Genomic DNA, 13,970 nt, shown 5'->3' on the forward strand with positions numbered 1-13,970 from the left:
TACTAATACAGTATGCAGTACAGTTAATTTATGCAGTTATGACTACATACTGCATCATTACATTCATTTACATTTTTCATGACTGCAAATGGCACCAGGTATGGTTGGTGTTTGCATAAGTTTTGATAAATTTTAACTTTTTATGTTAGATTTATGTATGTTTTATAGTAGTAAATGATAAAATAGACTACTATCTACATATGTTTTATTATTCATGACATACCTAACTTGTGCTTAACTTTTTCAATATTTCTAGGCTATGTGGTTTGTCTGCAAGTTTTTTCAAGTTGTCATAAATCTGCAAACATTTTTCCAATATATTTATTGAAAAAAATCCATGTATTAGTGGACCTATGTAGTTGAAACTCATGTTGTTCAAGGGCCAATTGTATATGTAACCATCTGTGTCTATATGAAGCTATTTGAGCTCACACCGATGTCTAATTCTAATCTGTTACCATATGAATCATTCTAGCCTCTTCTCATTGCTTATCTGTGAACTCCCACTCTGGCATTAAGAAACCTAGCTCCCACCACCTGCCACCCATTTACTTAAGTGTTCATTCCCAGTATATATGCATAGAATTGTTAACCCACACTGCTGTGGGAAAAACTTTATCAACTAGAGTACTGCAATAGTTTGCTTGGGCTGCCATAACAAAATACCACAAACTGGGTGGCTTAAACAATAGAAATGTATTTTCTCATAGTTCTGGAGGCTGGATGTTCAAGATCAAGGTACCAGCAAATTCCAAGGGCCATAACAGAAGTATCTGTTCCAAGTTTCTCTCTTTGGCTTGCAGAAGGCTGCTTTCCTGCTACCTCTTTGCATGGTCACCCCTCTGTGCACATGCACACCTGGTGTCTTTTCTGTGTGTCTGAATGTCCACTTCTTATCAGGACACCAGTCAGATTGGAGTAGGACCATCCTGCTGGCCTTATTTGAATTAAATGACCTCTTTAAAGGCCCTGTCTCCAAATACAGTGATTTTCTGAGTTATGGAGGGTTAGGGCTTCAACATACAAATTTTTGCAGAACACAAATCAGTCCTATACCAAGTATTGTGCTTACGCTTAGGTCAGCACCTTTCTTCCCCACCCTTCGATGAAGTTGTTTCATACATTTATAATACAGATAAGTTATTTTGTCACATTTTGCACTCCATCTGGGATTTCTCAGCTTCCTAAATAATTTTTCAAATTTGAGTGTATTAAGTTTCACTCTTTGTGCTATAAAGTTTTATGGGTTTTAACAAATGCATAGCATCATATATCACCATTACATTGTCATACAACATAGTTACATTGGCTGAAAAACCCCCTGTGCTTTACCTATCCAACTCTCTCCTCCTCCCTAAACCCCTGATAACCACTTACCTTTTTTTACCAACACTGTAATTTTTGCCTTTGCAGAATGCCATTTAATTGGAATCAGACAGTGTGTAACCTTTTCAGACTGGCTTCTTTCACCTGGCAATATGCACTTAAGATTCATCTATGTCTTTTTGTTGCTTGACAGCTCATTTCTTCTTATTTTTAAATAATATTCCGGCCGGGCACGGTGGCTCATGCCTGTAATCCCAGCACTTTGGGAGGCCGAGGCGGGCAGATATTCCACTTTATGGCTGTACCACACTTTGTTTATCCATTCACTATTGAAGGACATCTTACTTCCAGTTTTGATGATTATGAGTAAAGCTACTATAAACACTCACATGCAGATTCTGGGGTAAACATGTTTTCCAATCAGTTGGATAAATACCTAGGGGAGCAATTGCTGGATTATATGGAAGACTGTGCTTAGCTTGGTAAGAAACTGCTAAACTGTCTTGCAAAGTGGCTGAAATCATTTTGCATTTCTATCAACAGTGAGTGAAAGTTCCTGTTGTTCCACATCCTCTCTAGTAATTAGTATTGTTAGTTCTTGGATTGTAGTCATTCTAATAGGTGGGTAGTGGTGTCTAATTGTTGTAATTTGCAATTCACTAATGATAAATGATGTTACACATCTTTTCCTATCTTATTTGCCATCTGTATATCTGTATATCTGTAAAGGTATCCTTACAGATCTTTTGCCCATTTTTTAATTGAGTTGTTTTCTTATTGTTGAGGGTTTTGTTTTTGTTTTTGTTTTCTTCTAAGACAGGGTCTCACTCTCACAAGACTGCAATACAGTGGTGTGATCCTAGCTCGCTTAACCTTGAACTCCTGGGCTCAAGCTGTCCTCCTGCCTCAGTCACCCAAGTAGCTGGGGCTACATGTGTGTGCCATTGCGCCTGGCTAATTTTTTAGGGTTTTTTTGAGACAGGGTGTCGCTCTGTTGCCCAGGCGGGTCTCTAACTCTTGGCCTCAAGCAACCGAAAGCTCTTGGATTATAGGTGTGAGCCTCCATGCCTGGCCTTATTTTTGAGTTTTATGAGTTCTGTGTATATTCTGAATACAAATCCTTTATCAGATAAGTGTTTTTCAAATATTTTCTCCCAGTCTGTGGCTTGACTTTTTATTATGTTAATAGTGTCTTTTAATGAAATCATATCTTTTGCAGTAACACAGATAGAATTGGAGGCCATTGTCTTAAGTGAAACAACTCAGACACAGAACAACAAATATAGCATGTCTTCACTTGTAAGAGGGAGATAAATAAACTATGCATGCACATGTGAGCAGAGTGTGGAATGATGGACAGTGGAGACTCAGAGAGGTCAAGGGGAATGGGTGATAGGAGGCTGCTCGATGGGTACAATGTTCATTGCTCCAGTGATGGCTGCACTGAAGACCCTGACATCACCACAATGCAGTATATCAATGTAGCAAAATTGCATTTCTACCCCATGCATATCTACAAATAAAAAAGTGTGTTTTGTGGAGCATAAGTTCTGAATTTTAATAAAGTCCAACTGATCAATTGTTTTACTTCATAGATTGTGTTTTTGGGTGTGTTGTATCAAAAACCTCATCACCAAACCCAAGGTCACCAAGATTGTCTCCTGTGTTTTATTGTAGAAGTTTTGTAGTTTAGTGTTTGATATTTAGATCTATGATCTATTTTGAGTTAATTTTTGTGGAAGGTGTAAAGTCTATGTCTAGGTTCTTTTTTTTTTCAATATTGATGTCCAGTTGTTCAAGCACCATTTGTTGTCAAGACTGTTCTTTTTTTATTGCATTGCCTTTGCTCCATTGTCAAAACTCAGTTGGCTGTATTTGAGTCTATTTTGAGGCTTTCTATTCTGTTTCATTGATCTTTGTGTCTATTATTTCCCCAATACCATGCTGTCTTGATTACTATAGCTTTATAGTAAGTCTCAAAATTGGTTAATGTGAGTCCCCCAACTTTCTTCTTCTTCAGTAATGTTTTGGGTCCCTTATGTCTTTTGCTTTTCCATACACATTTTAGAATAAGTTGCTGATATCTGCAAATTAGCTTCCTGGGATTTGGATGGGTATTGTATTGAATCTATAGATTTTAAGTTGGGGACAATTGACATCTTAACAATATTGAAGCTTCTAATCCATGAACATGAAATAACTCTTTATTTATTTAGATCTTCCTTGATTTCTTGTGTCAGTGGTCTATAGTTTTCTTAGTTTTCTACATACAGATCCTATACATATTTTGTTAGATTTATACCTAAGCATGTAATTTTTTTGTGTGCTACTGAAAACGATATATTTTTAAAAATTTCAAGTCTCAATTGTTTATTGCAAATACATAGGACATCAGATGACTTTTGCATATTAACCTTGTATTCTGCAACCATTCTATTATGTTTATTAATTACAGGAGTTTTTTGTCGATGATTTTGGATTTTCTACATAGACAATTATGTCATATGTGAATAAAGACAATTTTGTTAATTCCTTCCTAATCTGCACACCTTTTATTTTCTTTTCTTGTTTTATCACACTCACTAGAACTCCAGTACAATGTTGAATAGGAATGGGGGGAGAGGACCTTCTTGTCTGTTACAGATCTTAGTGGGAAAGCATCCAGCTACTCACCATTAAGTATGATATTAACAGTAATGTTTTTGTAGATGCTCCCTACCAAGTTCAGAAAATTCCCCTCTATTCCTAATCTGCTGAGAATTTTTATAATGAATGGGTATTGGATTTTGTAAGATGCTTCATCTGCATTAATTGATATGATCAAATGATTTTTCTTCTCTAGGCTATTGATACGGCAGACTACATTGATTTTCAAATGTTGAACCAGCCTTGCATACCTTGAATAAATCCCACTTGGTTGTGGTATATAATTCTTTTTACACATTGTTAGGCTTGCTAATTTTTTGAGAAATCTTTGCATCTATGATCATGAGAGATATTGGTCAGTTGTTATATTTTCTTGTAATATCTTTGTCTGGTTTTAGTGTTAGGGTAATGCTGACCTCATAGAATGAGTTAGGAAGTATTCATTTTGCTTCTATATTCTGGAACAGATTGTGGATAATTGGTGTCATTTCTCCCTTAAGTGTTTGGTACAATTCACCAGTGAAACTCTCTGGGTCTTATACTTTCTTTTTTGGGGGAGATTATTAATTACTGATTGGATTTCTTTAATAAGTAGAGGCCTATTCAGATTATCTATTTCTCCTTGTGTGAATCTTGATAGTTTGTATCTTTCACAGAATTGGCCCATTTCATTTAGTTATCAAATTTGTGGGCATAAAGTTCTTTACAGCATTCATTTATTACTGTTTTCACGTTCCCGTGATCAACAGTGATGACACTGCTTACATTTCTTATATTGGTTATTAGCGTCTTCTCTCTTTTTCTGGGCTAGCCTGGCTATAGTCTTGTCAATATTCTTAGTCTTTTTTTTTTTAAAGCGGCTTTTGGTTTTATTAATTTTTCTCTATTGTTTTTCTGTTTTACATTTCATTAATTTATGCTCTGATTTCTATTATTTGTTTGTTTCTGCCTTAGGTTTAAATTGCTCTTCTTTTCTAGTTTCTTGGGGCAGAAGCTTAGTTTATTGATTTTTAAGTTTTTCTTGTTTTTTAATGTACACATTCAATGCTATAAAATTCTGTTTAAACACTGCTTTCACCGTATTCCACTAATTTTGATAGGTTGTATTTTCATTTTCACTAAGTTTAAAGTATTTTTAAATATTTCTTGAGAGTTCTTCTTTGACCCATGTGCTCTTTAAAAGTGTATTGTTTTATCTCCAAATAATTAGATATTTTCCACCTATTTTTCTCCTGTTGATTTCTGGTTTAATTCCATTATGATCTGAAAGTTTTTTGTCAATTTTAATTCTTTTACATTTGAGGCAGTTTTTCTGGTCTGGATGTGATCTATCTTGATGACCATTACATGCAAGCTTGAGAAGAATGTGAATTCTTATGTTATTGGATGGCTATTTTATAAATGTCAATTTATAAATGTTAAGTTGATTGCTAATGCTGTTCAGGTCAACTATATCCTTATTGATTTTCTGCCTGCTTGATCCACCACTGAAATAGGGGGTTTGTCTGTTTCTCCTTTCAGTTTAATCAGTTTTTTGGTAACAGCTTCATTGAGATATAATTCACATACTATATAATTCATGCATTTAGAGTATACAAATCAATGGTTTTTAGTCTATTCAAGCAGTTGTGCAGTCATCACCACAATCAACTTTAGAAAACTTTCGTCACACCAAAAAGGAACTCCGTTCCTTTTAACAATCATCCCCTAGTCCTTCCATCCCCTTACCCTGAGCCTTAGGCATTCACTTACCTAGTTTCCTTTTAGATTTGCCTGTTCTGGACATTTTGCACAAATGGGATCACACAATACATGGTTATTTGTTACTGGCTTCTTTTATTTAACATTATGCTTTCAAGATCCACTTTGTAGCATGTATTAGAACTTCTTTTATCACTGAATGATATTTCATTGTTTGGATATACCACATTTTGTTTATTCACTCTCAGTTGATGGACACTTAGGTTGTTTCCACCTGCTGCTGTAAATATTAGTGTGCAAGTTTTTGAGAAGACTGATGTCTTCGTTTCTCTTGGGTATATACCTAGGAGTGGACTTGCTGGGTCAAGTAGTGACTCCATGTTTAACTGAGGAACTCCCTGCGTGTTTTCCAAAAATGGCTGTACCATTTTATATTCCCACCAGCAATGTATGAAGGCTCTAGTTTCTCCAAATCCTCACCAACACTTGTCGTTATCTGTTTTTCTTATTATATACCCACCTGGATCATCACATCCCACAGTGGTTTTGAGTTCTATCATTTCTTGCCTCTGTCAGTTTTGACACCCTGTTGTTAGTTGTATACCTGTTTAGGATATTTAGATCATCTTGAGGAACCGACATCTTTATCATTATGTAATGCCCTCTTTTTGCCTGATAATTTTCTTTGTTTTGAAGTCGTCTTTGTCTGAAGCTAATATAGGCACTCCAGCTTTCTTTTCATTAACATTAGCATAGTAATTCTTTCTCTATCCCTTTACTTTGAACCTGTCTGAGCCTTTATATTTAAAGTGGTTTTCTTTTAGAAAACAGATAGTGGAGTATTGTGGATTTTTGGTTTGTTTTGGTTTGCTTGCTTGTTTTGCTTATTTGTTTTATCCACTCCATCTCTGTCTTTTAATTGATGTATTTAGACCATTCACATTTAAAGTGATTATTGATATAGTTGGGTTAATATCTACTCTCTTTATCCCTGTTTTTGTTTTTTTGGTTTTTTTTTTGTTTGTTTGTTTGTTTGTTTTTTGTTTTTGAGAGACAGAGTCTCACCTTGTCACCCAGGCTGGAGTGGTACAGTGGCACAATCTTGGCTCACTGCAGCCTCCACCACCCGGGTTCAGGCAATTCTCATGCCTCAGCCACCCCAAGTAGCTGGGATTACAGGCACGTGCCACCATGCCTGGCTAATTTTTGTATTTTTAGTAGAGACAGGGTTTCACCATGTTGGCCAGGCTAGTCTCAAACTCCTGACCTCAAGTGATCCACCCACCTTGGCCTCCCAAAGTGCTGGGGTTACAGGTGTGAGCCACCACACCTGGCCTCTTTATCACTGTTTTCTATTTGTTATATTCATTTTTTGTTCCCTTCCCCCTATCTTTTTTGTTGCTTTTTTACTAAAAAGAAAAATCACCAGTTGTAGGTTGCTTCTTAATTTCAGATTTGTTAAAATATGAAAAAAGTTTGTTCTAGAATCTATAACATATTGTCATAGTACCCTCCTCATAGAGAGATTGTGAGGCTTAAATAGGACAATGCATCAAAGTACTTAGCCCAGTATTTGGTTTGGCAGTGAGCACTAGATATTAACCATTAATATAATTACTGTATTAGTGCTGCCCAAATACTTCATGGACCTCACAGCTGATTTAGACACCCCAATTCTATCACTGCACCAAGGCTAAGAATAATTACCCTAAATACATAGTTCTGACTGCTTTTTTGTGGTCAGTTACTGCAAGTGTGTTCTCTTTGCATGTGTATTCTGTGGTCTGTAGTTAAATGCAGAACTCTAAAGTCAGACATCCATGTGTTTGAATCCCAGACGGTACTTACAGATATCTGAACTTAAAGAGGTTTTTAAATCTCTTTCAATCTCATTTTAGTCACCTGAAAATATTTATACTAATACCTTCCTCACAGAATGTGGTCAGGACCTAGCAGGGGCCCAAATCATAGATATTATTATTGTCATCAGTTGTCCTCATATCTCTTCCTCTTAACAAGGTGCTCCCTGTGGCTCAGTCTCCCTTTTTGAGCTGGAAACTCTGGGGAGAAGTACTTTGGACCTGACGAAGGCAGAGGCTGCATATAAGAATTAAGCGTTAGCAGGGAGAATGTCTTGACCTATGGGGAAAGATCTCTGCAGGTAGAGTTTGCAGTCCCTGGCTTGCAGTGGGAAGGGGGATGTGCTACATGCTCACCTGCCTCATGTAAGGGCTGCCACTTAGCCCTGGGTAGGGGTAGCTTTTAGGCAAAAAGAGATTCCTGAGGGATGAATGTAACAGGGGTGGCATGACATGTGACCCCTTCTCATACCCATCATATCATAAAGCAGTGACTCCTGAACGAGGACCAGCCACTTATTCGTCTCAGTCCTGGCTGTGGTGGGGACCTCAGATAGATGATTGGGCTTTGTCTCTACAGTTTTCTCTTCAAGACTATTCAAGATACTGCTAGTTATTCATCTTCCTTTGTTTCATTATTTTCCTCTTATATTTTTGTTATCTGACTCTGCAGTTTGGGTTTAACGGGAAGGAAACACTGCCTCTCTCTTCACTCCCCAGACACATTTTTAATGTCTGAACATCTACCAGGCTGGGCCTTTGGACCCGAATGAGCAGGGAGAAGCATATCCACAGAAGAACCCTGCGGTTCTTGGCTCTGCTTCACAGCAGTGGTGGGTATGTCGAGAGGCACAGAACTCGAGGGTTCTGTATAAACTTCGGGGGTATAAACCTGTGCAGACCTCAGCCTGCCATGAGAGGACATTTCTGTGCCTGTCTTAGTGTCCAGCGATCAGGGGGGCTTTGTGGATGATTTTTCTGAGTTAAGATTACAGTCTTCCCAGAGATTGGGCATTGCCTGACCAAAAGGGCTAGAAATAATATTGCCCTCCCAGAGTCCAAGGCTTTTTTTTTTTTTTTTTTTTTTTTTTTTGAGACAGAGTCTTGCTCTGTCGCCCAGCCTGGAGTGCAGTGGCACAATGTCAGCTCACTGCAAGCTCCACCTCCCAGGTTCACGCCATTCTCCCGCGTCAGCCTCCTGAGTAGCTGGGACTACAGGCACCCGCCACCACGCCTGGCTAATTTTTTGTGTTTTTTTAGTAGAGATGGAGTTTCACCATGTTAGCCAGGATGGTCTCGATCTCCTGACCTCGTAATCCGCCCGCCTCAGCCTCCTAAAGTGCTGAGATTACAGGCATGAGCCACCGTGCCCAGCCCCAGAGTCCAAGGCTTTTAAGAGAATCTAAAACCCTTTCCCTCAAGAAAGCCCGTTCACTGTGCCTTATGATTTAGTGAGAATTCTAATATACTGATGTGAGTTTAAAATAGGTGTGTGTGTGGTTGAATAGAGCAATTGTCTGGATTACTTAAGCCAAGAAAAAGGCAAGATTTAGAGAAAAATATTTGAGACCTTTATAATATATGTTTAGGGATCTTTCTTATGATTATGTATTCTAGAAGGTCCCAGGAACTCTTGTGCCATTGACCTGGGCTGGTGAGGACATACCAGGACAGTCCCATGAAGGTGTCCAACCTCTCCTGAGTGGCCCTCCACATGAATCAGGCTGCTATAGAATTGTTCCATCTGATGTTCCTGCTTGATCACAGTGTAGCGCAACCGTCAGTTCTAGGCACTGGCAGCTTCTCTTTGGATTAAGGTGGCAGGGAAGTAGTATTTCACAAGTATCAACTGTGCAAAGAACAGAGGTGCTAAGCTCAGCCTGTCACCTTGGCCTCTTGCCATCTGGTCTTCTGCATTTCCATAGGACAGACATTCTCAGGCATTGCTGTCCATCCTGCCAGGTCCCTGTGAAGCAGGGGGAGTGATTTTGCTATTGGCAGGAGTCTAAAAACCTAACATTTTTTTGTACAAAGAGAAGCACATCTCATAAAACCCAAATTCACAGTGAAAAATTTTCATTTAGTCTATCTTGCTCAGAGATTTGAGCCACCAAACACATGGCTGGAAAAATAAGCTGAGAGGGGTGTAAGGAACCCAGAAGCCCCATTTCTCTTCAAGCTCCTCAGCATTCTCCAGTGGGGAAGCCTTTATCATCTAATCTCATGCTGTGTATATACAACATGGTATCTGGCCATTGCTGCATGCAGCAGGCCAGATTTTGAAAAGATCTCTATGGGCATCAGTGCTTGCATCAAAGCTCCCAAGTTCTTTTTGTGTATTTGTCTAAATTATAAATCAGTGTTTTAGATGGAAGCAAGATTCAGAGGTATAATTAAGCCAGCTTGGAACCAGACACAGGCTGCTTTCCCCGTTTGTAATTAGCACCCCATCACAGAGGGTACCAGGTACCCCGGGGAACTCGGCTGAGAGAGAGTGACCCCACCCTTTGCCTTCTGTTTTCTCTTTGTATATGACTCTTCATCTTTGATTTTCTTTTTGATATAAGACATACAAATTTCCTTACTTTTAGATGCCTGTGTCAACCAAGGGCCTAAAGTTACAGAGGAAAGGACTTGCTTTATAATGTTACAGGGCAGGAGGATTGGGGTGAGGTTTCTCCATAAGGTGAATGATCATTTTCCCAGTGGCTTATGGGATTTTGGAGTGTGGGTACAGATGTAATGCTTGCTTAGTCTCGAAATGTTTCGTTTTTATTAGTCTTGTCTCCCCAACCAAATTGCTAGCTAGCCCTTGGAGATCAGAGACCATGACCTCACCTTCTCTTGGATCCTCCAAGGTACCCAGCTTAGGGCTGTGTCCAAGGGAAGCCAACTTCAGAGAGATGACCACACTCCTCTATGTTGGAGAATGTCACGTGAGAGTTGCTTTCTAGAACTTCCCAGGAAACAGTGTGCACAGATGGGCATGAGCTGCCTTGACACTGCAATATACAGGATTCTAAAGTAAACATCCCTGTGACCAGTAATAAGCAATTTGGTAACTGTGACCTGGTTGCTTTCATCCTAGTTTCAAATAATTAGATGATTAAGAAAAATGTGAAAGGAGATTGGAGAAACTGCTGAGGTCACTGTTGACACTTTGAATCAATGAGGAAATCAGAAGGCTGGGTTACCGTGAGTATGTGCTCCCCACCTCTACTGTCCGCCCTTAACTGAAATCAAGTGGGTCCTTGGATTGATGGGATTTGGTCTGTGTAGCCTTCATTTGCTTGTTAGCCAAGTTCATGGTTTATACATCTGTCCCCACCCTCCTCTGTGGCTGGCCAGAGACGCTAATTCAGTCATCACACATGGTGCTGTTCCTGAGAAGGATGCCTGTTCGGAGAAAAAAAAAGCCCCTTGAAGGTCTGGCTAGAGAAATAGGAGGAGTAAAAGCATCCTATACTGAAATGAGGGAAAGGAGAAAGAGTAGCACTGAGAGTGTACTGCAGCGGTTAGGTCTGGGAGGGGAAAAAAAACCGGAGAGCAGGCATTTCACTTGGAGAATCTAAAGAATTGCAGGGTGGTTTCTCTTGCTATTGTTTGAAGGGAAGCCAGCAGTCAAGAAAATTATTGGTCAAATTTCACAGAAGAAGGAACATGACACAGAGGATTTTAGTTTTAATAGCTCAGAATCAAATCTGATGTTTCAAGGAAAGTGAAGAGAACAATTGACTATCAAAAGTACTGGAGAATCTGCCACTGAGCTCTTCCCAAAAGCAAGTGAGGGCACCAGAGGGGTGGGAGTTTCTGTCCTTTGCCATAAGGAAATAGACTGACTTTTTTAAACCAACATACCAGAGTTTACACATTCAAATGAGTATTGTCCTCTCCTTTAACTGTCCTTTTGGGAGACTTCATTCTCAGGGCAAAAATACTGCTTTTACATTGAATACATCTACATGCCTCTCTAGGTTTTTATTTGACTACATAGTCTCTTTTGTGGCTAATAATCCTGCTTTGGGAGTAGATCTGATTTCTGAAAATCATTTTGTATCCAAAATAATGTAAGCCTGTAAAGGAAAAACCTGATTTTTCTGAGTTGGCTTTGAAATGATGGATTCTGAAATTAATTCTACATGAGGTCCAGAAATCACATGGGCAGAGATTTCCGGGCTCCCCATGGTACCTTCTGGGGAGCCAGAAGTTCAGCCAAGCTGGGTGATTACTCACCTTTGAGTCAGACACTCCTGGGATGGGATCCTCCCTTCACATGTGGGTCCTAAGCCAGTTCTTTTTACCTTCTGATCCTCAATTTTCTCACTTAAAAGCTGGGATAGTAATAGTATCTACCTCACGGGATTACTGTGAATATTAAATGAGGTGATACTTGGGAAAACACATAGGAAGGGCTTAGTAATTGCTTATTATTATTACTGATCCCTTACATTGCCATAATGTGGAGCCAGGTACATAGTAGGTAATCACTGAATCTTTGTCAACTAGTTGCAGGGTTGTTGCTAAGGATGTCAGGTTTTGACTTGAAAGTACACCTGTATTTAAAGAGTGGGGTCATCTGAGGTAACTCCAAGACTAGAAAAACATTTCTAATCCTCAATCCTGTAAAACACTTCAAAATGGCATTTGTTCACCTCTAAGATCTACCCTAGCTCTAATAGTCCATGAAATCATGATGCTGAATTACATAAAACAAGGGGATTAATGTGAACAATAAGAAAAAATGTTGACCAATAGCATGGATAATTGAAGAATAAATGGTCAGAACCAGGCAACTCTAGAGGAAAAGCTTAGAGGACAGTTTCGTGGAATTATCAACTGGAGAGACTCCTTTGAGGTTGTTTAGAATGACGACATCATTGTTTAACTTGAGCATGGGAACCATCACCAGGAGGAAACCTACCTGAAATTCTACACTCAGAAGAGTTGGCACTTGGGTAGCTGTGGGACACGGTGGAGAAAGAAACTACCCAAAGTTGGCCAAAGAGCTTGTCACTGTTCTACAATGATCTCAAATTGGTAAAGGAGGTTTTCACAGCTTTTCCAAAGGTTTGAAAAAGAAAATAGCTACTGGTGGCTGTGAAAACACTGCATTGGCTGCAAAAATCAGTGTGATCTGGTATCAGAAGCAAGGTGTTAAATATTATCCAAAAAATGCAGACACAATATACTCTTCATGGAAAGCCTTGGACTAACAAAAGAGAAAAATGGAGATGAGACTATTATATGATAATCACTGCCTAACAACTGGCTTCAATAAGGAGGCTCCCCATGCTGTTGTAACCACAGAATACAGAGCATGAAGAAATGGACTTAAGTTACAGCCAAAGAGATGGAGGATGAGACCTAAGGAAAAAGACTTTCTTACCCTTCTTGAAGATAAAGCATAAGAATGAAGATCCCTAGAGATGGATGGGAGTCGCTGTGGAATCTGGCAGTTTGGGCGTTGACCTGTCCGATAGCAAACCCAGAGCAATGGCCCCAGGGAGTCTGGGAGCCTCCAAGAAAGCAGAGACTTCACCCAAGAGTCTCATTCGAACAACCTGACTGAATCTCAGCCTGCAACAGATGGAGCAAAAGTTCCATCTTAGGATGCTGGAGACTAAATGGGTTAGAAGTAGAGGGGGAAGTGCACGAACTCGGCTCCAGGAGGAAGAGAGCAAATGGCCCATGGAAGTTTTCCTATCTCTGGCTCCTTGGAACCATGGAGTCAACACGATAAAATTAGCAGAGCTAAGTAGGCAGATTTGTGGGGTTGGAGGCATAATTGGTCCTGTTTTTCTCTAGTCTTGACCTAACTGAAGTTCACTGGGTATGTAATGGAAAAAAAACAACCAGCTTGATATAAAAATACAGGAAATGCCTGCAATCACTGCTGATTACAGTAGCAGCTTTCCTTCTGTTATTTTTGTGAAAGAGAAAAAAAAAGGGGGGGTTATTAGGGTGTTTTTTTTTCCCTTTCCTAAACTTTGGAAACAACTTGGGCTATTAGTTCTTTTTAGGGCATTCTTTACTCTAGCTAAATGATGTCACTTAATCTTTATAAATAAAGTGGGTGGGGGGAGACATTCAAATTCTTATCATAAATAAAATTCCTGAGTATAAAATACATACAAATGGTTCTAAATATGGTTTATTGGCCCTAAGGGCTTGTGTTTTCCGAATTCCCCTAATTTCTAATCTTTCTAGGCTGAACAGGATAAATTGAGTTTTTAGTGTAGTGCCTCATTTTGCAGTATGGTTTGCATTAGTGCTAGGAGAGGAACATTGTTTCCAGCAATTTATCTCCCAGAAACCATCTCTGCTTAGCAAGTGAAGAAATATTTGCAAAGAGACTCTTTCAACTAGTGATTGAGAAACACGCATTGTTCCGGCAGCAGAGAGACAGTACGTAGATTCTCACTAAAATGGAGCTTGTGA

At 39.2% G+C, this 13,970-nt stretch overlaps 1 protein-coding gene across 18 annotated transcripts in view, besides 1 other annotated feature; it reads left to right on the forward strand.

The window, feature by feature from the left end:
* The window catches only part of PRKCE (protein kinase C epsilon), a 536,712-nt gene that overhangs the window by 454,532 nt on the left and 68,210 nt on the right, over positions 1-13,970 (forward strand). The gene's annotated exons all lie outside the window — the stretch shown is intronic.
* Positions 11,128-12,327: an enhancer, noted in NCBI's record as "CDK7 strongly-dependent group 2 enhancer chr2:46344077-46345276 (GRCh37/hg19 assembly coordinates)". NCBI's record gives its function as "activates an origin of replication core promoter dependent on BRD2, BRD4, P300/CBP, MED14 and CDK7 cofactors, with strong dependence on CDK7, by STARR-seq in HCT116 cells {active_cell/tissue: HCT116}" and the evidence as "EXISTENCE:reporter gene assay evidence [ECO:0000049][PMID:35650434]".

Source organism: Homo sapiens, chromosome 2, assembly GCF_000001405.40.
Source record: "Homo sapiens chromosome 2, GRCh38.p14 Primary Assembly".
Classification (NCBI taxonomy): Eukaryota; Metazoa; Chordata; class Mammalia; order Primates; family Hominidae; genus Homo; species Homo sapiens.